General features: G+C 54.0%; 1 protein-coding gene and 1 long non-coding RNA gene across 20 annotated transcripts in view, besides 4 other annotated features; one reads left to right on the forward strand and one right to left on the reverse strand.

The window, feature by feature from the left end:
* Nucleotides 1-24325, forward strand: part of GPR84-AS1 (GPR84, ZNF385A, ITGA5 and GTSF1 antisense RNA 1) — a 113340-nt gene that overhangs the window by 14060 nt on the left and 74955 nt on the right. The window lies entirely within an intron of this gene.
* On the reverse strand, nucleotides 1386-23548 carry ZNF385A (zinc finger protein 385A). Of its 18 annotated transcripts, none has more exons than NM_001437416.1 (9): nucleotides 23485-23548; nucleotides 17109-17207; nucleotides 16678-16814; nucleotides 8094-8204; nucleotides 6223-6385; nucleotides 3723-3965; nucleotides 3177-3346; nucleotides 2876-2971; nucleotides 1386-2736 (listed from the first exon to the last, which is right to left on the reverse strand). In NM_001437416.1, the coding sequence occupies exons 1-9, from the start codon at nucleotides 23492-23494 to the stop codon at nucleotides 2506-2508; spliced, it is 1260 nt and encodes a 419-aa protein (NP_001424345.1). In that variant the 5' UTR covers nucleotides 23495-23548; the 3' UTR covers nucleotides 1386-2505. The 18 variants fall into 18 exon arrangements, with proteins under 18 accessions (NP_001424345.1, XP_047284650.1, NP_001276933.1 ...); XM_047428694.1 differs by having other exon boundaries at nucleotides 17109-17255; NM_001290004.2 differs by lacking the exon at nucleotides 23485-23548 and adding an exon at nucleotides 17923-18029.
* Nucleotides 19540-20174: an enhancer, noted in NCBI's record as "NANOG-H3K27ac hESC enhancer chr12:54781074-54781708 (GRCh37/hg19 assembly coordinates)". NCBI's record gives its function as "activates a minimal SCP1, AML or CMV promoter by ChIP-STARR-seq in primed H9 embryonic stem cells {active_cell/tissue: H9 hESC(primed)}" and the evidence as "EXISTENCE:reporter gene assay evidence [ECO:0000049][PMID:30033119]".
* Nucleotides 20175-20808: an enhancer, noted in NCBI's record as "H3K27ac hESC enhancer chr12:54781709-54782342 (GRCh37/hg19 assembly coordinates)". NCBI's record gives its function as "activates a minimal SCP1, AML or CMV promoter by ChIP-STARR-seq in primed H9 embryonic stem cells {active_cell/tissue: H9 hESC(primed)}" and the evidence as "EXISTENCE:reporter gene assay evidence [ECO:0000049][PMID:30033119]".
* Nucleotides 23448-23507: a silencer, noted in NCBI's record as "silent region_4528". NCBI's record gives its function as "represses an Ori minimal core promoter by ATAC-STARR-seq in GM12878 lymphoblastoid cells {active_cell/tissue: GM12878}" and the evidence as "EXISTENCE:reporter gene assay evidence [ECO:0000049][PMID:35858748]".
* Nucleotides 23548-23757: a silencer, noted in NCBI's record as "silent region_4529". NCBI's record gives its function as "represses an Ori minimal core promoter by ATAC-STARR-seq in GM12878 lymphoblastoid cells {active_cell/tissue: GM12878}" and the evidence as "EXISTENCE:reporter gene assay evidence [ECO:0000049][PMID:35858748]".

Consider the following 24325-nt stretch of genomic DNA (forward strand, 5'->3'; position numbering starts at 1 on the left):
CAGATGGTGGTGCTCTTAATAAGATAGGAAATGTGGGAGGAGGAGCAGGCTTAGGGAAAGGGGTAAATAATGAATTCAGTTTTAAACTAGCAGACTTGAAGTACTTGTGGGGTCTGCTAGGATCCCAGACTCTCTAACCCCAATTTCTTCCAGTCCCTATCTCCTTCCCCACATGTGACCCAGCCCCTGCTTTTCTCTACCCACTCTTCTATAGGGCCTCTCTTGTCCCGCATCCTTCTGAATCCTCCCACCCCTTTTAAAGCTAGATTTACCTGGAAACAAACATGCAAACAAACACCAAAACACTCCTTATTGGGTTCCAATTCTGAACCCACAGTGAACACCCTCCTTTCAGCCTCACAGTTGACAAACCCAGGAGTCCCCCATTCCCCTCTCTTTCCTGTTTAACAGACATCATCCCAACTTCCCTCCTCCTTTCTTCTGCAAGACTGGGAAGTGGGTAGAGTGGGGGAAGTGAGCAGAGATGAAAGTCGGGAGGAACTCACATAGATTCTGGGTTTTGGTTTGGGCTTTTTTGTTTGAACTTCCTGCCTCTCAGTAGGGATAGAGGGGGTCAGGATTACTGGCTGCTCTTGGGAGTGTATGGTTGAACCACATTTTGGAGATAACGGAGAAACCATTTTCCTCACATACCATGTGAGAGACAGCTGAACAGTGTTTCCCTGTTCCACAGACCATTTAGGGGCCAGTTGAGAAGGTATTCCAGTATATCTGTAAATGGCACAGTCTCAGTTCTTCAGTCTTGGATACATGAGATCTTAATGAACCTTTGAAAGACTCAAGTCTCCTTATTTTGAAGACTGTGACACTGAGGTCCAGAGAGGGCAAGGACTGACTCAAGGTCACTATTTATGTGGGGCCAGAGCCTAGAGCTCAGATCCCCAGTCTCTGCCCCCCGTTTCTTCCTGTGCCTTGAGTCTCGCTGGCGTGGGTTTCCCACCAGACACACAAAAGCCTGGATTCTTTTCTTTGTCTGAGACTGAGTCTAGACCCATCTGCGTGGAATCTCGAAACACATTACAGGAGCGGCTTAGCCTCGGGCTTAGACTCCTTTTCCGGGTCGTTGGCGCCGCCTTGTGGAGTTGTGGCAAATTCTCAACAGCTGCAGCTGCAGTCCCAGACTTGGACTAGAAATGATCCCCCAGGCCAAGTTTACACGAGCTGGACGAGAGTGGGCGTGGGTGGGATGGGGAGCCTCTGCTCACTCTGCACAAGCCTCATATTTTGCCTCCCCCACCCCCGATTTCCGTTTCCCTCCTCCTTCTCGCTCCCTTTCCTCTTTCTGTGCCGGTCCCATACAGATACATTTAACGACAGAATTGCTCCCAAAACAGCGGGCAAAGACAGAGTCTGAGTCTAGGGGCGGAGGGCAGAACAAATTCAGACTTTATTGTCAGGGAGAGGAAAAAGGGGAGGACCGTGGGTGGGGGGCCTGGGTTGCTACATTGTCAAGCAGAAAGAGTTGATGGGAAGGGGAAGACCAGTGTAGGCCAGACCCCTCCCGGGTCGGCGGCTGAAGGGTTGACGATACGGAAACCACGGAGTCGGGGGTGGGGGAGAGGTGTCACACCCCCGCCCGAGTTGTGCAGTGGAGGTGACTGGTGGGAGGGGACAGCCATGAGGTCTAGGAACTTGGATCGGGGAGGCTACAGACTCGGCGAATCCTGCGAAGGGGAAGGGCGGGGGCGAGGCTTCTATTGCTTTTTGCTCACAGTTTTGCGGAAGGCGAGGCGGGGGTGGGCTTGGACTGGACACCCCTTGCCCCCCTCGGTACCCCTTGGGCGATGGGTGCTGGTGAAAAGAATGGAACCCGGACTAGGGAGGAAGAAGGCGAGGGAAAGGTCTATGGTGGCATCTCCTTGGTCCCACCCAAGTGCCGGAGATGCCCCCAAGTGCTGCCCCCTGCAATGGGCCCGGCTAGACCTGGGGCTAGGGCATGGTGCGGGGCGGGCACAGTGAGGTTGCAGGCGGTAAAACCAAAGTGCTTATGAGGGACCCAGGATCCCGCCTGCTCCCCTCCCCCTACGGAGGACGGGGGTGTTCACGGAAGCGCTTCAGTTTGGGGTAGGGAGCCGGAGTCCCAGAGTCCGCTTATTGCCAAGAAAATCCATTTCTGTCCCCCCCGGACCCCGACCATGGCTTGTGAACCCCGTTTTGTGCTAGGTTTGGGGGGAAGGGCTGGATGGACATGGCTTTTGGGAGGGGGGGTGTCTCCAAGGGGGCTCGGGGGTGAGACGGCCCCCCCTTTTCTAGGGGAGAGGGAAAGGCAGGGGGCGGGGTTCCCTGAGATCTGGGGTGTTCCCCCCCTTCTGAAGCCCCCCTCCCCCGCTACCCCTCCCCTTTCCTGGAACCCCGTATCTCGGGGTGGGGGGGGGGAAGGAGAGATCATTTAGGGAGTGCCGGGAGGAGGGGCGGGCTGGGAGCCCGGACGCCTGGGTCCCGGCTGGAGGTGGGGAGTTGAATGGGAGGGGTTCAGGGTTGAGGTCAGTACGGGGAGAAGAGGATGGGTCCGTGCGCAGTTCGGATGGGTCCGGGGGCCGGGTGAAGCAGAGGGTGAGTGATCGGCGGTCCCTGGAGAAGAGGTGCGGCTGGAGCCGGGCGCAGGGACAGCGGCGAGCCTGCTGCCGCTGCCATCACTGCAGCCACCGCCAGGGGGCTGGGGAGCAGGCCGCCCGCCAGGGACTTGGGCAGCTCCTTGGAGAAAGTCAGCGTGCCCTGAAGCGGGCGAAAGGCGGAGGAAGAGAAGTCACCCGGCGGTCCTGCAAACCCCACCTCTCCCTGGGCAAAGCCCGCGTCCCTCTCTCCTCCCCGCCCGCGCCCTCCCACTGCTGAATTCCCAGCATCCAGGCCTCACCGCCAGCTCCCCGGCGCCCCTAGACTTCTTGTGACGGCTCAGTAGTGGGTTGGGCTTCCCGGCCACGCCGTCTCGGTGCCGCCGGCTGGAGATGTGCTGCGGGGGCCAGTGGATAGGGGGCTGTGAGCTCCCGGAAAGGGGCAACAGCGAGGGAGTATAATCAAGCTCCAAGCACCGGCCCCCTCCCATCTGGCCCCCTGGGGAAAACTCTGAAGAAGGGCCTTTACTCAAGCTCCTTGCTCCCCTTCCCCACTTAGCGGGTGGAGCGTCCCAGAATTCCTGGGAAGGGCCTTAGACCCACCTGTTTCAGTTGGACCTCCGAGTTGACCTTGACATTGCAGATCTCACAGTGGAAAGTTCGGTCCTGGGCAGGAGCCTCTGGTTCCCCCGGGGTGGGAGGCCCCAGCCGAGGGTAAGCTTTGATGGGCCCGAGCCCACTTCGGGCCTCCAGAATTGTCTTGTGCTTAGTACCTGGAGCCCAGAGAGGGCAGGAGGTAAGGGGTGGAAGAAAAATTATCCAGGCCTACTGGGCCTCAGAATGCACATTCCCAGGTACAATATGAGGGGGAAGAGGGTGGGCACAGTGTGGGTTCTTTCTAACTAAGCTCCTTGGGACCCTCCCAAAGAGGTGGATCAGGAGAGAGTCATAGGTAAAGGAGTAAGATGGAGGGAGGAGCTGAGGAAGTAAAGGGCTAAGGAACAGGGGAGATGGCTGGAGAAGGAGACAGGCAGATAGGCTGATAGGTCTTAGATGGTCTAGGGATGTTGGAAGCCAGGGGCATTAGGATGTAGAGGCAGGGGTGGCCTGAGGACAGGAGAGTCTGGGTGGGGGCAGGGGAGTCCATACCTTTGTTATGTGCCTCAAGCTGGGACAGGGAGTTCACAGCCACCTTGCACAGAGCACAGTAGAGCAGCCGCTTGGCTTTCTCCTCCTCTTCCTTGCTACCCCCAGGCAAGGAAGCCGGGGCTGGAGTCCCCCCTTCACCCTTGGTTACACCCTGACCAGTCTCCGGAATGCTGGGAGGGGATGGGGAGCCAGGCTGTTTCTCTGGGGATCCTGGGGCTGGCCCCAGTCCATTCTCCATGGAAACTGTTGTTGGGGGAGAAACATGGGGATCACCCTAGATGGCTCTTGGAGAAGACTCTTCATGTGGAAGAGACCCCCCCCATTTCCTGGAGGGCAAGGGACCAGGAGTCCCCACCCTGTTACAACATGCATGCTCTCATGCCCTGGTCCAGAGCCAGATGTGGTCCAGCTGCCGCAGGCTGGGTGTGAAACTCCAATGCTTGGCTCATTCTCCATTAGCTGGGAATGGCCAAGGGGTCCAGCCTCACCAGCCTACCTTCAGGGTGAAGCTGGCAGCCAGCCCAGCCAGGGGGAGAGGCATGCAACAAGGATATACCCCTCAGTGGCCTGCCAGCCAGTCTGGGCTTCCTGCCAGGACAGCCCCTTCCTGGAGTCTTGCCCAGCCCCCAGGAAGTACACGAAAGAGCCCTAGGAAGGGGCAGAGGCAGGGTGAGGAAAGGTCTGGAGAGATAAACACAGGCATGGCAAAAGGGAAATAGAAACATCAGAACCGGAGAGGGAAGAAACAGGGATGTAGGCTGCTCTATAATTCATGGCTTGATTAAAGATGCACAGGCCCTAGGCCTCAGTGCTGGGTTCTGGCCTCTGTACAGGGGAAACTCTAGCGCTCCCATTCTTGCTCCAGCAGCTGATCCAGTTTCCGGGTCATGGCGAGGCTGGCAGTGGGGGTGGGGAGCTTGTGGGAGGGGAACTCCTCACCCCTCCAGGTACCCATTTGCTTGTTCATCCTATGTCCTTCCCCTTATTTCTCTTACTTTTTTCTGACATTCTTCACCTCCATCCCAATCCAGACAGCACATCCACATCTCAGTCTGGACAGGACTTCATGGTTTATAAAGCACGGCAGGTATAGTTATCCTGCCTATATCCTCAGAGATACTGTAGGAATTAAATGAGGTAATATGTGTAAAGTGCTATTCAAGAAATGTTAGCTATCACCATCATCATCATCATCCTCTTCCTCTCCATCTTACAGAGATGTTAACAAACTAAGATGATCAGGCTAAGAAGCAGCCAAAGTACAATTAGAACTCAGCTTCCCGTGGCCGGGGACGGTGGCTCATGCCTGTGATCCCAGCATTTTGGGAGGCTGAGGTGGGCAGATCACTTGAGGTCAGGAGTTTGAGACCAGCTTGGGCAACATGGTGAAACCCTTTCTATACTAAAAATACAAAAATTACCCGGGTGTGGTGGCAGGTGCCTGTAATCCCAGCTACTCAGGAGGCTGAGGCAGGAGAATCGCTTGAACCTGGGAGGTGGAGGTTGCAGTGAGCTGAGATTGTGCCACTGCACTCTAGCCTGGGCGACAGAGTGAGACTCTGTCTCAAAAAACAAACAAACAAAAAACAGAACTCAGTTCCCCCACCTGCCCGCCTGCCCACTCACTCTGACTGTGCATCCCTGAGGGGGTTCTGTGTGTGTGTGTGTGTGTGTGTGTGTGTGTGTGTGTGTGTGTATTGAGAATGGGGTCCTGGTTTCCAAGCTGGTAGTACAGATGTTTGTTTCTCATTCTTCTTAGGGTGGGGCAGGAAGGACAGGCAAGTATAAGGATGGAGATGTTAGGTCTCTCTGGAATTGGCCATGATTGACATCCGATGTGGTAATCCCAGGATGGGGGTGGCTCATCATATCTTCCTGTCTCAATATTCCTGCTTTCCAATTTCTTGGCTGCAAGTATGACTGAGGATGGTCACCAGCCATGAGGGAAAAGGAATCTTGTAAACTTGGAAAAGACCTCAAAGATCTTAGTCTCACTCCTCTATTTCCCAGAAAAAAAAAAAAAAAACTCTGACTAGGGAGGTCAAAAGGTCTACTACTACCCAAGATCATCCAGGGAGTTTCCTGGGTTTCTTGCACTCTCTGTCTTCCCCGAGGGGAGCCCCAGTAGGGCAGGAACTCAGATATTCTGATTCCCTTCCCTGCCCCTCTCCCTAAGATGAAAAGGCATCTCTCTGGATTTGGTGGTTCTCTTTTTCTTGGGGATGTTTGCCAGGTGGCCTCACCCTAGCCCCTCTCTGAGTCACTGGGCTGTGGGGAGGACAGACAGTGGGGACTCTGTTGAGAGGAGCTGTGGTGGGGGTAAGGGTGACAGGATGGAAATTTTACATCACTGTGCCTGGCTCCAGGACTCACCTTGGGTGGGGGTGGGGGTATAGGGACTGAGGAAGAGAGAGATGGAAGCAGAGGACAGTTCTGGAAAAGGGGGAGAGAATAGAGAAGACAGAGATCAGTTGAAGAATATGCGGGGATTCAGACACACCTGGACGGGGTGCTACACCATCCCCATTTGTTGGGGTGCTGCCTGGGGGAGCTGGGTCTCCAGGTTCTCGGACGCCAGGCTCCCTGCCTCTGGTCTTGGCAGCCTCAATGCCTTTGACTCGTCGGGCGTGGCGATTACCTTTGTAGTGCGCCTCAGCCTGGCTCTTTAGGGATGGAGGAAGAAAATGGAATCTGAGATCACCTTTCATCTGACCGATCTCCCCACAGAGCTCCCTCAAGTCCTGGGGTGATCTCAGCAGGCTGCAGTGAATTTTTCTGTACACCAGTGAGATGTAAAGCCCCATACCAATAAGTCCTGGTTATTCCTGGGGCTCAGACTAGCTTCTCAAGCTTGAGTCCCTGGGAACCTAGGTCCCCACCTAGTTCAGACTCCACCCTACCACCACACCCAGGGCCTGGCTGCTGACTCAGACCCCCACCTAGTCCTGGTAGAGACAGGGGGACCACAAACCTATGGAAGAGTTCTAAATGGGGAGAGGCCTAGCAATCCAGTCAGTCAGCATCCTCTTAGACCCCAAGGCTATGTGCCCAAGTCCTCTGCCCCTAGGATCCAGCCTTTGCTGCTTTCACCCTGAGGCTGGAAGTCCCAGGATCCCTGATGCCTGGGCTCTGTCCTGACTACTTCCCCTTGGGTCTCATTTTCCCTGAAGCCTCTGTGGACACCCTGGAGGACCCTGGCCCCGAGCCCAGCTCTGGGGACAGAAAACAGCAGTGGAGACAGCTGTCAAAACAGAACCATTTGATGGGGGAGGGGAGGGTAGGGCAAAAAGTGGGAAGGGCTATCTGCTGTTGGCTCCCTGCCCCTCTAGTCTTCCACCATCCACCAGTGAGTGGAGCCAGGGTTGATAGACAGGATGCCTGGGGTCCAAGCTAAAGCAGAGGCCTGATGCTGGGTTAGTCCTGTCTTCCCTTCCCCACCCTGCTCCACTCCCATGTATACCCCTGCTAAGAATGTACCATCCTGGAGGCACAGGGTCACCCAGACAAGGGCAGAAATAAAAGGTGTGGATAGGCAGGAAAAGAAGATTGACAGCCCAGGGGTAAAGTAGCAGTGTGCAGAGCCCAGTAGTATGGAGTGTGTGTGTGTGTGTGTGTCTCTGTACTGGGTAGAGAAACAGAACATGCTTTTATTTTCCCCTACTCAGCAGAACGAGGCTCTGCTGTTTTTCTCCAAAAGCTCTCAGGGCCTGCACCCCACAAAGTCCCCTCTAGAGCCACACACACTCCACAGAGTCCCAGTGGAGCCTCAGAGGGAGGAAATCTGGGAGGCTGAACATCTGGGTTTTGGGTTTGGGGTAGCTTCTCCCCAGGGGAAAGCCCCATGGGATAAGAGTAGGGGCCAGGCCTTGTGTGTGATTTGGAGGGAGGAGAGTAGAAATGGGGTGGAGAGAGAAGGAAGCCAGAAAGTTAGAGCGAAGTGGGTGGGCCAAGGAGGAGTTTAGCAGAGGCCAAAGAGGACAGAGGCTCTGTGGGGGAGCCAATGACCTAACTCTGCCCCATACCCAAGAACCAGTGGGCCAGAGGCCACACTCCTGCTCAGACACTGATGGCCACCTATGTTCCAAGAAGCTCTGAACCACGGATGCCCAAGTCTCAAGGGAGGGAGAGGTCAACTTTAGAGGACTGATCTACTTCATGTCAAAATACACAGCAACTTCTTGTGTCTCTCCAGTGCCTTCCACAAGACCCTGCCCCTCCTGCGGTATCCCCATTCCCTGCTCTTTGCCTAATATCCCCTTAATCCCTGCCCCTCAACCAGAGTAAGTGTTCTCACCCAGCCTCTGCCCTCCCTCAAGTTCCCCTGCTGCCCCTGCCCCACCCACTGGGTAGATGAGCAGCTTGGCTTCTTACCTGAGAATTGAAGCGGATTTGACAGATATTACAGGAAATGACGGGCCGCTTGGTCTTGAGCAAGGGTCCCCCAAAAGTGTGGGAGAGCACAGCCTTCTGCACAGGGTCCATCTGTGGAGGCAGGCTGGGGTGAGCCGGGAACCCTAGCGCAACTCATGTCCAGCATTCCCCCAACACAGATATCTGTGTTGAACCAAGGTCCCCAGACCCCTTCTATCCCTTAATATGCCTGAGGGATCTGAGCCTCAGTCTTCTGATTCTCTCTTAGCCCAATCTTCATAGCACTGAAAGGGACCTGATCGATAACTGGCCCAATGCTCCCATTTTACAGGACATAGAAGTGGTTTGCCCAACGTCACACCATGAGTTAATAGCAGATCTGGTATCTGAACCTGGATTCCTGCCTTGGTCCATCATACCATGAACATACAACTGTGTCACCTTGACTTATCTCCTACAGTGAAGCCAATCCACCAGAGGCCTCTGACATGAAGTCCCAAAGCACCCTAGATCCTAGGGCCTTCAGCTGAAGCCTCTGAGCCCTTTGGGCCTCCACTCTGGGGTAAGACTATCACCAAGCCCAGCCTCTAGTCCCAGGAGACAGATGTTCCCAGCCTCCCAACTCTGGATCCCTGGTCGCCCTAACACACACACTCTCTGGACCTCTTAAGGGCAGCAACTTCTAGAGGGAGTAAAAGAACTCAGGAGAGAGTAGGAGCTCTAGTGAATCATGGGGACTAAATGGGGGGACCTAAGCAGCTGGGCTGGCCCGAGGCAGCCCAGGGATCTTCTGAACCTTTTCTCCCTGATCATCAGGGTTTCTAGGGCAGAGCTGTGGGGCTGGGCGGGATTAGGAACCATCCCTGTCCCCACCCTGGGTCAGCAGACGTCTTTGCAGTCTCCTGCCAAGAGTTCACATGAGTAAGGGAGAGGACGGGAGTTTCTCTGAGGCTTTCTGCTATCAGGGGATGAAAACCAGGGGCTCAGAGGTGTGAAAACTGCCTCCCTCAACAGTTCTCCTCCCTTTTGGCCTCTAGGCAGCTAGGGAGAGGAAAGCCTGGAATGCAGCTGAGACTGAAGATTGGGGGATGGCTGGGCTCTCTCATAAGAATGGGACTGAATTAGGACAAAACCTTATCTTCTGGGTGGAGGGATCAAGTGAAAAATAGTTGCTGGGGACTTGGGGTCCTTATCTCCTCAGCCGAGCCCATCTCTGTGACAGGTCTTTAGGGTTTCCAATGAGACACTGGTGAGAGAACAAGAAGTGGGGGAAAGTAGTAAGAGTCTGGAAAGCCCTGTCCTCTGGACTCTCCTTTCCTCTCACCAGTAGTTTCACTGGCTGGGTGGGGTTAATGTCAGGAAATGGGCTTTCGTATCCCTGTGAAATAGATGGTGGCCTCATCCACTCTCCATTTGGGTAGTGCTGAAGGCAGGGACCAGGACTGGGTTCAGACAACTGGTCTGACTGACAAGTGTCAATCTCTTGGCCTACTCTTGGTTGGAAAGAAGCCTCTCTAAGGGCTCACTTTTTTTTACCTCAGCTTCCCAGAAGCCCCAGTCACATCCAGGGAAAAGCCAAACAGGAGAACGGGTGTGTCTGTGTGTGTTAGGCAGGCTGTGATCAATCTGTGCATGGGTGGAGTGTGAATAAGTGTCATGTACTGTGCGTACATCATTTATATATCAACATTTCTGCGTCGGGGGCTTTGATGGCACCATGAATGGTCAGGTGGTGTAATCTTCAGCTGTGTGTTTATCTGTGTAAATGTATGATGTGTTTGGCAGAAAGAAAGACAGACCAAGTTGGAGACAGTCTTTAATCAGAAAGGGGAGACAGACTGCTGCTCTCAGTTCCCAGTCTCCAGGCCTTAATCCTTCCTATTTAGAGACCCCCAACTCTGTTCCAGAGTTCTCCTCAGCCCTGGGCTTCCTCACATGCTGGGTGGGGAATGGGAATTCAAACAGAAACTCAAGTTGGGCCAGGAAACCCAAGTTGGATGAAAACAGTAGGGAGAGAGGAGTGGGATGGAAGGGGGAAGCAGAGTCTCCTAGTTCTGCCTATGCTCTGCCCCATCATGCCAGCCTGCTCTCCAGAGGGGCTGAGGACACAGTACCCCGAGGATGACTTGTGGACTGGCCACCCCAACATCCATACCATGAGAATGGTTCCTGCCCTACCTGGGTCCTTCCTCCAGGGTGAGAACCTTAGCTTTTGCACAACCCCCTCCCCTGGTTTAAGTCCATAAACACCAACTAGGAGTGGGAGTGGGGAGTGGGGAAGAGGGCAGCAGTGGAGTCAGGTGGGTGCTTCCCACCCTCCTCCAGGAACTAAGGAGACACCAGGATGAAAGTGAGGACTCCTGGGCCCAATCCCTGTGCAGGTGGAATGTGAGCCACTGAAGTGCTGCTCCAGGCCAAGGTCAGGAGGCCCCGGTGACCTAGATGAGGGCTCCCTGGGGAGGGGTGAAAGCCAGCACCTCCCAGAGCCCATCTCACTCCAGAGCTTCTTCCCTGGGATGCTGGCTTGGACACGGCCTCGAAAGGTCCATAAAACAGTCCCCTCCCACCTGCCCTCCAACAGTAGACATGAAGGGGAACCGCTCCCTGACGCTGGGGCAAAATGAATCAGGAAGGGCAAGGGAGAGGGAAGGTGGAAACCAGATCAGGAACAGGAGGGGTGCTATGATTATATTTCCTTCCATTGCCCTTTATCTGATGGAACTGCTGCCCCTTGTGTGAGCATCCCACTTCCCCACCCACCAAAATTAAGACGAAAAGGGAAAGGTGGTGGAATCTCAGGGATGGGAAGACCTGAGGAAGGACTGAGATAGGAAAGAGAGGGAGCTAGGGGGTATCTAGAGAGCAGGTGCAAGCTGGTGGGGGAGGGATGCTGGGAAGGGGCTGGGGCTGGAGAGGAGGGATCTGATCAGTGTGGTCATTGGAGGGCAGGTGTAGGACCTGACAGGAAGTCTGAAGATTTGGGGGACTCCAAGAATGTGGGAAGCAGAGGTCAGGGTATCCAGTGTGGTGGCAGTAGTCTGGGGGCATGAGCTGGGATCCCGAGATTGGTTAGGGCCGCGCCGATGTGGGGGATGGGCCGGACAGCCCGAGGACTAGGCAGAGGGAGCGGTAGCCAGCCCCGCAGGGGCGGGCGGGGACGGGGTGGGGGTGCGCTGCGGCAGCCGCGGGAGTCAGGGAGAGAGGAGGGGCCGGGTGGCTTACCCTGCGAGACCCTGGGGGCCGCGGCTCCATGGCCCGGGGTGGCGGACCCGGGCTGGGGGGCCGCGCCTGGCCGGGCCGGGCAGGCCAGGGACGCGGCGCTCGTTGCCCGGGCGGCTCGGGGCTGTGCGGCCCGGCCGGCGGGGAGAAGGGGAGGCGGCGCTGGCCCGGGCCGGAGCCCGCCCCGGAGGCGGGGCCGAGGACGGGGGCGGGGACAGGGACAGGGACAGGGACAGGGAGCTGAAGAGGAATGAAAGGGGGCTAGGGCGGAAAGAGGGAGATGTCCATTATCCAGACACTCCTAGGAAAGAGCTTGTTCTGAAGAGAAGGAGCCGCTTGGCCCCGCGGCAGGGGCATTGACCAGATGACCTCGTTGCCTCCACTGGGGCTCCTTCTTGGGTCCAGGGTCCCCACCAACTCAGACATTTCTCCTTTCTTTCACCCCTTTTGCCCCACCTTCCCTAGATCCCCTGCTGACAGTCTGTCTTCAGAGTCCCCAGACGACCCTTCCCCAGCTTCCTCTGCAAACGGCGGCCCCTATGCTGCTACCTTTTTACAAGTCACTTCCCTCCCTAGGGATGGGAAACTGAACCCGGGTACCCAGGTGTCAGGCACTGCTCTCTCAGAGACTCCTCCAAATCATGGAGCTGAGGGCACCCAGGGCAAAAGCGACCTCAGACTGGGGATGTCGTTCCTAACTTCTTCCCACCTCCTACCCGCGCCCGCCACCTGCCGGAGAACCAGGCTCCCTGAAAGCCCACGCTTCGTGCACCTGCTGCCCTCTGGCGGTTCAGTGGGGGCAGCACTGGGGGACCAGAGGCTGTAGGGCCTAGCAGCCCACTCCCCCAGACACCTCGTTCTGTCTAGACAGGTCCTGGGATTCCCAGTATTTCATCTCTAGGTCTCATCTTCTCCCATCCCACCTAAGGCAGAGACATTAGTGAAGCAGGGGACTGGATCTAGAGAGAGGGTGGCTTTGGGAAACAGTGAGGGACGTCCAAGGGCAGAGGGAAGCAGTGGAGTGAGTGGGAGGAGAACGAGGGGAGACAGTAATTCTAGAAGAGGTCTAAGGAGTAGGAACTGCCCAAGTAGGAGAGAGCACTGGAGGTGCCAGTCCACTGGGAAAGAGAGACTCTGTCATGAATAATAATATCACCACCACCATCTAATGTTGATTGAGCCCTTGCAATGTGCCAGCTTCTGTACTGAGCTCTTTGCATGGATTATCTAATTTAATCTTCACAACCACTATTTGAAGTAAGTACTATTATTATCTTCATTTTATAGAGGAGGGAACTGAGGTTTAGAGAGGTTAAATAATTTGCCCAAGGTCATAAGCTAGTAAGTGACTGAACTGGGATTTGAATTTAAACCTGGGCAGTCTGACTCCAAAGCCACGTACTTAACTGCTGCACAGTACTTCCAAAGGCCTGTCTGCAGCTTTTCTGCAGTCCTCATTCCCCTGCAGAATTTGACAGTATTGATGCAGCCCGCCACACTCTCTCCCTTGGCTTCTCCAACTCTACAGGAACATATTTCCCTCCCCACCCGCTCCAGTGGCTTTTCCATTCCTTTTGCTGAAGCCTCTTCCTGTTCCCACTGCCTAATTCTGCACGTTCCCGAAGGCTAAGGCCTTGACCATCCTAAGTTTCTCTCTTTACTCCTCTTTTAAATAAAAACAATAGCAATAGCATAATAATCATAGCAGCTAACACTGATTGAGCACTTAGTTTGTGCTAGGCATTATGATTATGTAATATGATCTCACAACCTTGTGAGCTGGTGTTAATACTATCCCATTCTCAGCCTGGGCAACATGGCGAAACTCCATCTCTACTAAAAATACAAAAATTGGCCGGGCGCAGTGGCTCATGCTTGTAATCCCAGCACTTTGGGAGGCTGAGTCGGGCGGATCACAAGGTCAAGAGATTGAGACCATCCTGGCCAACATGGTGAAGCCCTGTCTCTACTAAAAATACAAAAATTAGCTGGGCGTGGTGGTGTGCACCTGTAGCCACAGCTACTCTGGAGGCTGAGGAAGGAGAATTACTTGAACCCAAGAGGCTGAGGTTGCAGTGAGCGGAGATTGGGCCACTGCACTCCAGCCTGGGGGACAGAGTAAGACTCTGTCTCAAAAAAAAAAAAAAGAAAAAGAAAAAAAGAAAAAAAGAAAAAAAAAAACTATCCCATTCTACAGTCAGTAAAACTGAGGTTCAGAATGGTTAAATAACTTGCCTAAGATCACACAGCCAGTACTTTGGAACATCAGTTTAAATCCTGCCAATCAGATGCAGGATGCAGTTCAACACCCTGCTGAACTCTTCAAGCTTATCCATGCTCATCGCTTTAAATACCTCTGCTAGAGGCAGTGGAGCCATGAACTCTGCAGGAGTCGAAACCCTGGATTATCCAATCAACTAAGTAGCTTTGTGACCTTGGACAATTCACTTAACCTCTCTGCGTCTGTGTTTCCTCATCTATACAATGGGGACAATGATGGGGTTGCTAAGATCTGAGGTCAAGTGTAAGTCAGGTGTTTAGATGGGGGGAGGTTTTCTCCCCATCTTATGACCTAGTCACATCCAATCTTGCACTTTCTCAAATGCTCCTTTCTAGCCCTTGTTCATGCTACTTACTTCAGTCTGGAATGTTCTCTAAGACTACTTTAAAAATCTTGCCAATAATTCTTCAAAGCCCAAATTATATGTCACCTGCTCCAGGTTAAATCCCTTTTTCCTCTGCTCTCTGTTTTTCTGCCTAACTCTGGTTGGTCCCTTAGGCCCCATCACATCCAGGAAGGTCTTTCTTGATACTTGGGCTTCCATGCAAGCAAAATGCCTCTGACACAGCTCTTCTCACACTGTATAGGGTAACTGTTAACTTGTTATCCTTCCTACCAAACTATGAGCTCCCCAAGTGTGGTAACTGAGTCCCGTGTCCCTGACACCAGGCACAGTACCCAGCACATAGTAGGTGCTCAAAAAAAATTTTTTTTTTGTTAAATTGAATTTTTTTTTTTTTTTGAGATGGAGTTTCACTCTGTTGCCCAGGCTGGAGTGCAGTGGCGCAATCTCGGCTCACTGCAACCTCTGCCTCCCAGGTTCATGCCATTCTTCTGCCTCAGCCTCCGGAGTAGCTGGGAGTACAGGCGCCCGCCACCACGCCCGGCTAGTTTTTTGTTGTTTTTTTTTTTAGTAGAGACGGGGTTTCACCATGTTAGCCAGGATGGTCTCAATCTCCTGACCTTGTGATCCGCCTGCCTCGGCCTCCCAAAGTGCTGGGATTACAAGCGTGAGCCACCACGCCTGGCCCAGTCTGAAAACTTAAAAGTGCAATGCAAATGTGTGTCTGGGTCCCTCATTTGGGGGGAGCAGCTGTGGTATAACGATAAGTCTGTTTAGAGTCAGATGCAATGGGTTCAAATCATACCTTAGGCACATACTGTGTCAACTTATATAAATTACTAAACCCTTCTGAGGCTTAGTTTTTGCTTTCTTATTTGTTAAATGGAATAATAATGTCTACCTTGTTGGGTTGTTGTGAAGGTGAAATGAGATTGCAGATAGAAACATCTGCTACAGTGCCTGGTGTGTAGTCAATGCTCAATACATGTTTATGGCTAAATATGGTTTGATGTGGGTTATTTAAGTTGAATAAGGCTGACTTTCCCCAAACTTTTAGCTCTAGCCCACCTTCCAGGCTTCAGATTCTAACTATCTGTAGAACATTTTGGGCTCAATGTCCTACTGGTATGCCAAATCACCATATCCTTTTTTTTTTAAAAAAAATATTTATTATTATTTTTTAAAACAAAACAAATAGGCCAGGCACGGTGGCTCAAGCCTGTAATCCCAGCACTTGGGAGGCTGAGGCAGGTGGATCACAAGGTCAGGGTTCCAGACCAGCCTGGCCAAGATGGTGAAACCCCATCTCTACTAAAAATACAAAAATTAGCTGGGCATGGTGGTACGTGCCTGTAATCCCAGCTACTGAGGAGGGTGAGGCAGGAGAATGGCTTGAACCCAGGAGGCGGAGGTTGCAATGAGTCAAGATCATCATGCCACTGCACTCCAGCCTGAGAGATTGAGCAAGACTACATCTCAAAAACAAAACAAAACAAAACAAAACAAATAAAGCTTTAGCTTTAGCACCACATGCTAAAGCATCATCCTCACTGGAGACCAGCTTCCTCTTCCAACCCTCTGCCTCTGTCAGTGGTGACTTCCATCCAATCACAAAGGCCTGAATGCTGGAGTCATCCTTGACTCATGCCTTCTCTTCTCCCCCACCCCCAAACACCAGTTGGTCACCATGGCCTGTCAATATTTCCTTGAAATTACCTCCCCCATTCTCCCTTTCTCTCCACTCATACTGCCACTGCCACCAGCCCCGTCTGGCTTTTGAGGCTTCCCTCGGGCCTGCATTGCTAGGACAGCCTCCTAACTGTCACCTTCCTCCTGCCTCTGTTCCCTTTCATCCAGTTGCCCCACTCACCTTCCTCAAACACTGCTCTTACCAAGTCACTCTCCTGCTCAAGAATAGACAGTGGCGGCTGGGTGTGGTGGCTCATGCCTGTAATCCCAGCACTTTGGGAGGCTGAGGCAGGCGGATCACCTGAGGTCAGGAGTTTGAGACCAGCCTGGCCAACATGGTGAAACCCCATCTCTACTAAAAATACAAAAATTAGCCCGGTGTGGTGGCACACGCCTGTAATCCCAGCTACTTGGGAGGCCGAGGCAGGAGAATCGGTGAACTGGGGAGGTGGAGGCTGCAGTGACCCAAGATCGTGCCACTGCACACCAGACTGGGCAACAGAGTGAGACTCCGTCTCATAAAAACAAACAAACAAACACACGAATAGACAGCACCTCCTTATTTCATATTGTATTAAATCTAGACCACCTTGCCAGTCCTCCAAGCCCTATCCCACTGATGCTACCCACCCAGCCGTGGACTGCAGAGAGGTGAAACTTACAAACAGGCATGCTTATTTTCCTGCTCATTCCCTCTTTCTGGATTCAGCACCTACACCCCTCCTACCTCCCTACTGTTACTACCACCAATTTAAGTCTCATTACTTCTCTAGATGGTAGGGCGATTCACTGTAGGACTAAATGAGATAATTCATATAAAACACTTAGCACAGTGTCTGGCCCGTAGCAAGACCTCAGCAAATATTAGCTATTATTATTGTTGTTAACACTGTACCAGATGGCCCACAATACTCAAAATTAACTAGAATTAAGGAAGATGGGGTCATAAGAGGAGATAAGGAATTAGAAACAGAAGAAGAGGGCAGAGGTGGGTCTGAGAGAGAAAGGTCGGGTCACAAGAGGATGGAGAAGGCAGGCAGGCTGCTACTTACGGTGCTGTAGTTGCTGAAGAGGCCAAGGGTAGGGGCTGGCTCGAGTGGGAAGGGCAGGATCTGCTTGAGGTCCAGTGGGGGCTGCATGATCGGGGGCTGCCGTAGCAGAGGCAGGGGCCCTGCCCGGCTCAGGCTGCCTGAAGGGCAGAGAAAACATTCTGTGGGGTAGGAAGATTAAAGCTTGGGAACCCCACCCAAGCCTGCCAGTCCCACTCCCTAGCCAGGGCCCCCACACTCAGAAGTGTCACCCTCAGTGCACATAGTGTACACACTTCCCCTGCTGGCTCCAGAGCAATGGAGCACAGTGCCCTGTGGGCCTGGGGGAGGGTGTAGACCAGTCCTTCCCTTCTGGGTGGTTTTCACTTCCCCCTTTTCCAGCCTCCCTCCCCCAAACTCCTTAGGCACATTACAGACCCAGTAAGAGCTCATACCTTTTCTGCAGGCTGCCTGCTGAACCAGCAGGACTCCCAGCCTCAAGCCCCTGGCCACCCTCTTCTTCTGGTTTTGCTTTCCCCCAGGGGATCCTAAAGCTTGGTATCGCCCCAGGAAGAAGAGAGTCAAGTGGGTGATTCATCCTACTGACCAGAGGGGGATATTGAGACTTAGATTTGGAGGGGGGCTGCTGAATCTCTCAGATGCCCTAGAATTAGATTTTGCTCTAACTATAATTCTTTATTAACTATTGACATCTGTGGGGGTAGGTAGTGGGTTGGGTGGCTTTTGCTCTGGGAGGTGAACTACCTAGGCCATTCTCAGAGCCCCTTCTCCCAACCTTCCTCAGTCTTCCCCCATGCCCTTTTGTCTCACCAGGAATGCTCAGCTACAGGTCCAGTTCTGCAGGAGGAACCTCGACCTGGCCTATGGGCGGGGAATGCCTGGGTCTGACCCCAAGGGGAAATGAAAGTCCAGGCCAGCCATTCAACTACCCTTCTCTGAAACCTTCTCCTCCTCCTCTCAGAGTCACGGGAGGAACTCCACCAGACTCCAAAGGGGCAGCCCAAAGGTCCTCAGAGCCCTTCTGGGCTTCCACTGGCCCAGCTCCCTTCTGCGACCCTGCTGTGCACCAGCTGGGGAGTTCTGGCCGCCCTTCACTGCTCCAGTAACCCCCTGACAGCAACAGGGGTTCCCAGGAACAAAGGCAAACCGAGGAGGCTGCGTGCTTGGCCCGTCCTCCCTTGACTTTACTAGAGCAGAAGGTCTCCAGGATCCCTTCCTGTTCCCTCCAGACACCACCCCCTTTCATACCTTTAGTTTCTGATGCCTGCTGCCCCCAGGCAGTGGCCTGGCCCTGGCCCCCCAGGGGCCTGGGCCTGACAGCGTCCCCTTCCCTTGGTTCTGCCCTCTGCCCCCTCCCTTGCCAGCCCCCTCCCCCTCAGCCCAGTCAGTAGAATCAGCCAATCAGAATCCTGGAAAAGTGGGGCAGAGGGGAGGGCAGGGGAGCAGGGATTAGGGGAATCTGAGGCGACAGGGAGGGGGTGGGGAGGGCTCAGGCACAGCTGGGGGCTGGGAGCTGGTCCAGAAAGGTCTGGAGGGGTCTGTCTCTTTCACCCCATGCCAGGATGGGTGGTCAGGGTGACTGAGACAGAGCAGGGGGTCAAGGCTACTGGGAGTTTGGGCTTCAGAATTCTCAGGGCTAAAGGAGAGGGTAAGATCCTTGGCTTTGACCCTTAAGTAGCTGGGGGTCTGTATGCTTTGTGTCTATTCCCTCCTCTGTCACCTTCAAGGTTGGGATGGGGTGGAGAGAGGACACACACACACACACACACACACACACACACACACAGAGAGACGGACAGATGAAAGTGAGTGAGAGGATGGGAGAGTGGTAGCAGCAGGAATAGGTGACTGAGGAATCGGACAGTGACACTGAGAGAGAAAAGGATAGAGAACAATGGAGAGATGTCAGAGAGCGAAATCAGACATACAAACAGAGAGACACTGCCGAAAAGCTGGACACAGAACTAGAGACTAGGGCAGACAGACCGAGAGACAGAGAACAGAGACAGCGAGAAAGATAAAAGAGAAGAGAGAGGGACAGATAGATGGATGGGGCAGCTTGACCACCTCCCCTTCCTGGTCTGTCCCCTTATGGCATCTGCCCTCTGTGCCCCACCCTCCCTTACTGCCTGTTACCCAAGGCCAGGGCAGCCTTAATGAGCCCCAGGCGGCATCAGGAATGGTGAGAGAAACCTGAGTGCTCCCAGAGTCCCCTGCACCCAGCATCCACCCCCAGCAGCTGGTTTTGGGCTGGCACTTGCCCTGCCCCAGAGCACCAGAGGCTGAAGCTTGGCTTGACCCTTTCCCTGGTTCTAGATTTCTCTAGGCTCCCACTCCTCAAAGCCATCTTAAGAGGAGACAGCAGAGTTCCAGAAAAAGCCACAGAAAAAAATTTGAGGCTACTATGTGCCAGGTAATGAATTCCAAGTATTATCATATTTAACCTCTGAAGTAGCTCAATGAAGTAGCCATGATTCAATGAAGTAGCTGATAATATTTTTCTACTTGACTTATGAGGAAATGGAGACTCAGAGTAGTTAACAAACTTGGCTGATGTCACACAGCCTGTAAATATCAGAGCTGAGATATAGATCAAGATCTGCTGGACTCTACAGCAAATTCTTTCTCTGCTACCTTACTCCCAAAGGGCTTGAATTTAACTGAAGCAGAGATCTGAGCACAGGCTTCCATCTTGTTCAAGGAGAGGAAGGGGAGAGCAGGTTCCATGCACTTCCTCAGGTTGGAGTCCTCATTTTTCCTCCAGAGGAGGGATAGAGGAAAACAGGTAGCAGCCACTCAGTTATCTATGGCTAACAACTCATCTTTTCCACAGACATGAGCCCTGGGTGAGCGGGGGAGGGGAGGGGAGTGGAGTGGGAGAGAGGGGTCAAATGAGGGTACAGTGAGGGAAGGAAGCAGGCAGGCAACTGGAGACAAACTATCTACTTCCCAGATTCCTGGGTCCACTCCATTCTGAGGTGGCGAGAGAGGCAGATGGCAGCTTTTGGGCCGGGTGGGCAGAAACAGGACTCTTGGTTTCAGGTAGCCCAGGCCTTAGGCCTCTCCCTCTCTTTTTCTGAGGCTAACAATAGTTGCCGCTTTTTGAGGCTTTACTATAGGCCAGGCACTTTACATACACAATCTCCCAGTAGGTGGTCCCACCACTCACTAGCTGGGTGAGCAGCTAGGTTCTCTGACTCTCAGTCTCATTTCTCATCTGTCAAATGAAAACAACACTACTTGCCTCACCAAGTTGTTGACAGGATTGAACAAATCCATGTAAGATGCTGGCATGTCACAGTGAGAACTCAATAAATATTTGCTGAATAAATGAATCTCATCTTATAGATGATGACAATTGGCTCAGAAGGAGAGTTATTTGGCCAAGGTCACACAGTTAGTGAGTGACGTGAACCTGTCTGTCTGGTTCCAGAGACAGGGCTTTCAAGCACTACACTTTTCTGGGTAGATCTGGAAGGGGAGGAGGGGAAAAGGCAGGAATATAGGAATGGCTGGGGAGGCAGGAACTGAGTAGGAAGTGTGGGGCTTTTGACTTCTAGCTAGGTAAAATCTCCAGGCAGGTTTGGCAGAAGAGGTGGAGAGCAAATTGAAGTGTGTGTAAGTGTGTGTGTGTGTGTGTGTGTGTGTGTGTGTGTGTGGCACCCATGTCAGGCAAGGCAGGGAGGAGCTGAGGCCTGGCTGGGGCAGGCCACTCTTGAGGGAAGCTCATTAGAGTAATTACCTCCAGCAGATAGAGCCCCACCCAGCTTCATCGAGAATTGCTAAATGCTTTATTAAAGAAAGCTCCCAACATGATTTAGAGGGGGTGAATTCCAGACCCTTGGATGGATGTCCATCTGTCCATTTTCACATCCTACTTAGCCCTGGGCACTTTGATCCTGCTCAAGTTGTGCTGTCAGCACTAACCCTCAACCAGGCCACATCTGGCTTCCTCTAATGGTCTTTTCCTTTCCCTCTTCCCTAGAAATTCGGGCCTGGTCTGGAGCCCCAGCCCTTTGGCTATTTTAGGTGGGGCCTCATGCCTCAAGCCCTGTTGTTAAAGAATGCTTAGGGAGTGGCTGCATCTGAGTAGGAATAGGAGCCAGGAAAGGTGTTAGTATAGGGCTGTGGGTTAGTGTTGGTTGGAAGACTGGGCCAGAATGGGATTAAGATCAGAGAGAGATATTGGGGTTAAGGTTGCAAGTAGTTAGGGCCCAAGGTGGTAAAAAGCACAGGGCCAGTACTGGGTTAAAATGGGAATTAGACTTGGGCCACAGGAGAAATTCAGATCTCTTCTCTAATTAATCTCTTTTTCCCTTCAGGCCTTTTGGCCTTTCCTCCCTCCCCAGAAGTGCCTAAAATTGAGGGCGGGGGTGGGAGGAAAACTTTGAACCCCTGGGTCTTTTTTACCAAGTTCCATGTATATGTCCCCTTCAGCCTCAATTCCCCCATCTTGGCAGGAGGCAGGCTGAGGACTGGAAAGGCTTTGAAGTCAAAGATGAAAGAGACGAGGGGGATGATTATGAACAACTACTCAAAACACCATGCCTAATAACCCCAGGGTGGATGTGGGCGGGGACTGGGCCTAGAGGGAGTAGTTGACTGGGAAGGGGAGAGCAGGGAGGCCCCTGGGAAATCTTTCCCCACTTGATTGGAAAGGGCCTCCTTCAATGTGCCACTACCCTTACTGCACCAGGGACTCAGTTGGAAAGGATGGTATAGAAAGGCTTAGAACAGGGAACCTGAGCCCAGAACTGCCATCTTAAACCTGGGGCCCAGACTCTAGATCTTGAGCAGGCTGGCTGGGTGTCACATGCTAGGCAGGGAGGGTTTAGGGTCCCTCCACGGCTACCATGCACATGGATTCAGAGGACCTAAGTGTTCAGAACTGAAACCTTTGTAGGGTCCCTGGGGGTCCCTGGGGGTGGGGCCGGAGCCCTGGCTGGCAGCTTCCTCCCTCTCTCCTTCCTTCCTCATAGAGGGCTAAGGTATGTGGGCTTTGCCAGACTTCCCGCACTCTGTGGGCTTGGCATAAGGAGGGAATTAATTACAGTGTCCTCCAGGGGGATGTGAGGGTACCACTTGTGGCTGTGGTCCAGTTTCAGAAAATGTGGACCCAGGAATTATTCCTGTGGCTGGGGTCTTGGTCAGGCTCCAGCAAGCAGGTCCTTGATGTCCTTTTCAGGGCCTGCTGACCAGGGAAAGCACGGCTTATGCCAGCCTATTCTGGGCAAGCATGATGCTGCCTCTCGAGCTGTGCCCAGGGTGGAGCCAGGGTGCAGAGATCACACAGGTTGGAGGAATGTGGGTCCTGTGCTCTGGGGGACTGAGTGCAATGTGTGCTGGTGGGGGTCACTCTAGCATCAGGGTGGTATTCATAGAAGGGTGGGTAATACCTTCCCCTGCTGGAGAGGCTCTTGAGAAGGAGGCAGGCAACCAGCCATTCATGCCTTCGTTCAGTCATCCATTCAATAGATAGGTGGAGTGCCAGGTGGAGGGGGTGAGACATACAGCAGAGAGAGACTGAGGACACACAGGAGGAGGAGAGAAAAAGAGATGGAGGAAGGGCAGAAGGACAATAGGTAGTCAACAGGGATAGGCGGTGAAATGAAAGAAGGTAAGAAAGGAAGACAAATAGCAGAGGGACTCAGGAGAGGGATGAGTGCAGGAGCCAGTCAAGCCCTCCAGGTACCAGCATGGAGCCAGGTGTCCTCGGTTGGGGGCAGGGAGACCACAGGTGTCTAGGCCTGGTTGGGGGGCTCCCATCATAAACAGATCCCAGAAACCAGCCTAGCCAGGGTGGAGGGCAGAGGTCAGAGCAGGCCTGTGGACTATTGTGGAGGCAGGGTGGAGGGCAGGGGCATGCAGCCGGCGCTGATGCAGAGTCCAGAGCACAGCTAGGCCCTTTCCTCCCCCACCCCTGGGGCTCCCTTCCTGATGTAGGTCATGAGGATGGGGTGGCTGTGGCTGACGGGCTGTCAGAGCCCAGCAGGAGTTCCCATCCCCCATACTTACCCTCTCCATTGCCCCTCCCTCTCCTGGTGCCCCCGGCCCAAGGCAGGGGTGGAGGGAGAAGAAGGAAGTGAGGAAAGAGGGACTTAGGCAGCTACAGCAGGGAGAGAGAGGGGCAGGTCTCGGCGTGTTGGGGCAGGATGGCTGTGGAGACAGGCTCTGAGCCGCAGGAGCCCTGGATGGACAGTTTCCCACCCCCTATTTTCCCCACCCCCTCTTCTCCCAAGCCCCTCTTCTCCCCAGCCCCTCTGCTCCCCAGCCCTCTTATCTCCGGCCCTCAGGTTCCCACCTCCCACCACACTCACCTCGAAGCTACACCCACCATCTTCTCCTTCCACCCCCCACTTCCTCCTTTCCCCCTTATCCTGGGCCCAGAAGGATGTCGGAGTATCTAAGCTAAGGGTGGGGGAAGACGCTGGGGCGGGAGACGGGTCAGAACCTTTCCCCCAACTCCACCAGGCCAGGACCAGCCCCCTCCCCCAGCCTCTCGTAGACTGGTATATAATATTCATGAGCCTCATGAATACGCAATGTTCTAATTATGGGGCGGGGGTCTCACTCCGCTCTGCCTCCCGCTTTACCACTCCCTAAATTACCCGGAGCAGCGGCAGCCTGGGAAAGAGGGGAAGAGGGGAAGAGGGGACCCCAGATGTGGAGCCAGATGAAGGGGGAGGGGGAACCGGTCGCTGACGGGCGGCCGCAGTCACCGCGGTGCCGGGAGATGGTGGAGGGGGGCGGTGGGTGACCCACAGAGAGGAACCCAGGAGCCGGGAGCCTGGAGTCGCAGAGACCACTCACCGAGGATCATGCTGGGGACCCAGGCGCCCGGGGTTCCGCGTCGCTCTGTCCCGGGGGCCGTTCTGGCCGGGCTGGGGGTACGGGGGGAGGAGCCGGGGAGGAGCAGAGGCCGGCCGAGGCGGAGCGGGGGCGGGGCCCTCAGCAGGTGAAGACGGGAGGAGGGGACCCGGGCACTCAGGGCTCCGCGAGGGGGCGTCCTGGCCCCTCCCGCTTCCTCCCGCCCTTCTTCTTGCTGCCTGCTGGCCTCCTGGGTTTACGGTGTCACTGCGGCCAGGGCTGGGGGAACAGGACGTCTAGAAGACGGTGTGAGGTGATGGACGAAGCTGGAAACTAGGATGCCTGGGTTCCCGGGAAGGGCTGAGTCTGAGGGCGGGAAGTCTGGTGCTGGGCTGATATGGGGTGGGCAGGGGAGTGGGGGGGGGAGGGGGGCGGGGGTGCCTAAGTACTCTGGGAGGCGATGGGCCTTGGGTTGGGTAGGATACCTAGGTTCCCTCCAGAGTAATGGACTGAGCAGGGGGCAGGGGAAGTGCAGCAGAAATTGTATGGGTCCTAGTTTGTTGTTCTGGCTTTGGAGCAGGATGCCTGGGGGCTGGGCCTCTGAGGTGAAATGGGATGTTGAAGATGGATCCCAGGTTGAGTTCTGGCTGGGGTCTGAATGCCTGGGTCCTTAGGGAAGGTCTCAGCGAGGAGATTGCAATCAATGGACCTGAGGAGATGGAAATAGAAGCTTGTAACCGAGATCATTAGGGCAACTGGAAGATGACAGAAAATTCAGAACTGAGGCACCTTGTAGAGATGACCTGGATTAGGGTGGGGTGGCATCAGGGAGCATCTATCCAGG

The sequence above is a fragment of the Homo sapiens genome, chromosome 12 (assembly GCF_000001405.40).
Source record: "Homo sapiens chromosome 12, GRCh38.p14 Primary Assembly".
In the NCBI taxonomy this organism is placed as follows: Eukaryota; Metazoa; Chordata; class Mammalia; order Primates; family Hominidae; genus Homo; species Homo sapiens.

Excerpts from the sequence above, each read along its gene's own strand:
- ZNF385A (NM_001437416.1), bottom strand. Across the intron at positions 16,815-17,108 it reads GCAGGCAGCCTGCAGAAAAG|GCAGCCTGAGCCGGGCAGGG; the intron begins GTATGAGCTCTT and ends TCTGCCCTTCAG. Across the intron at positions 6,386-8,093 it reads AAATCCGCTTCAATTCTCAG|AGCCAGGCTGAGGCGCACTA; the intron begins GTAAGAAGCCAA and ends CCATCCCTAAAG.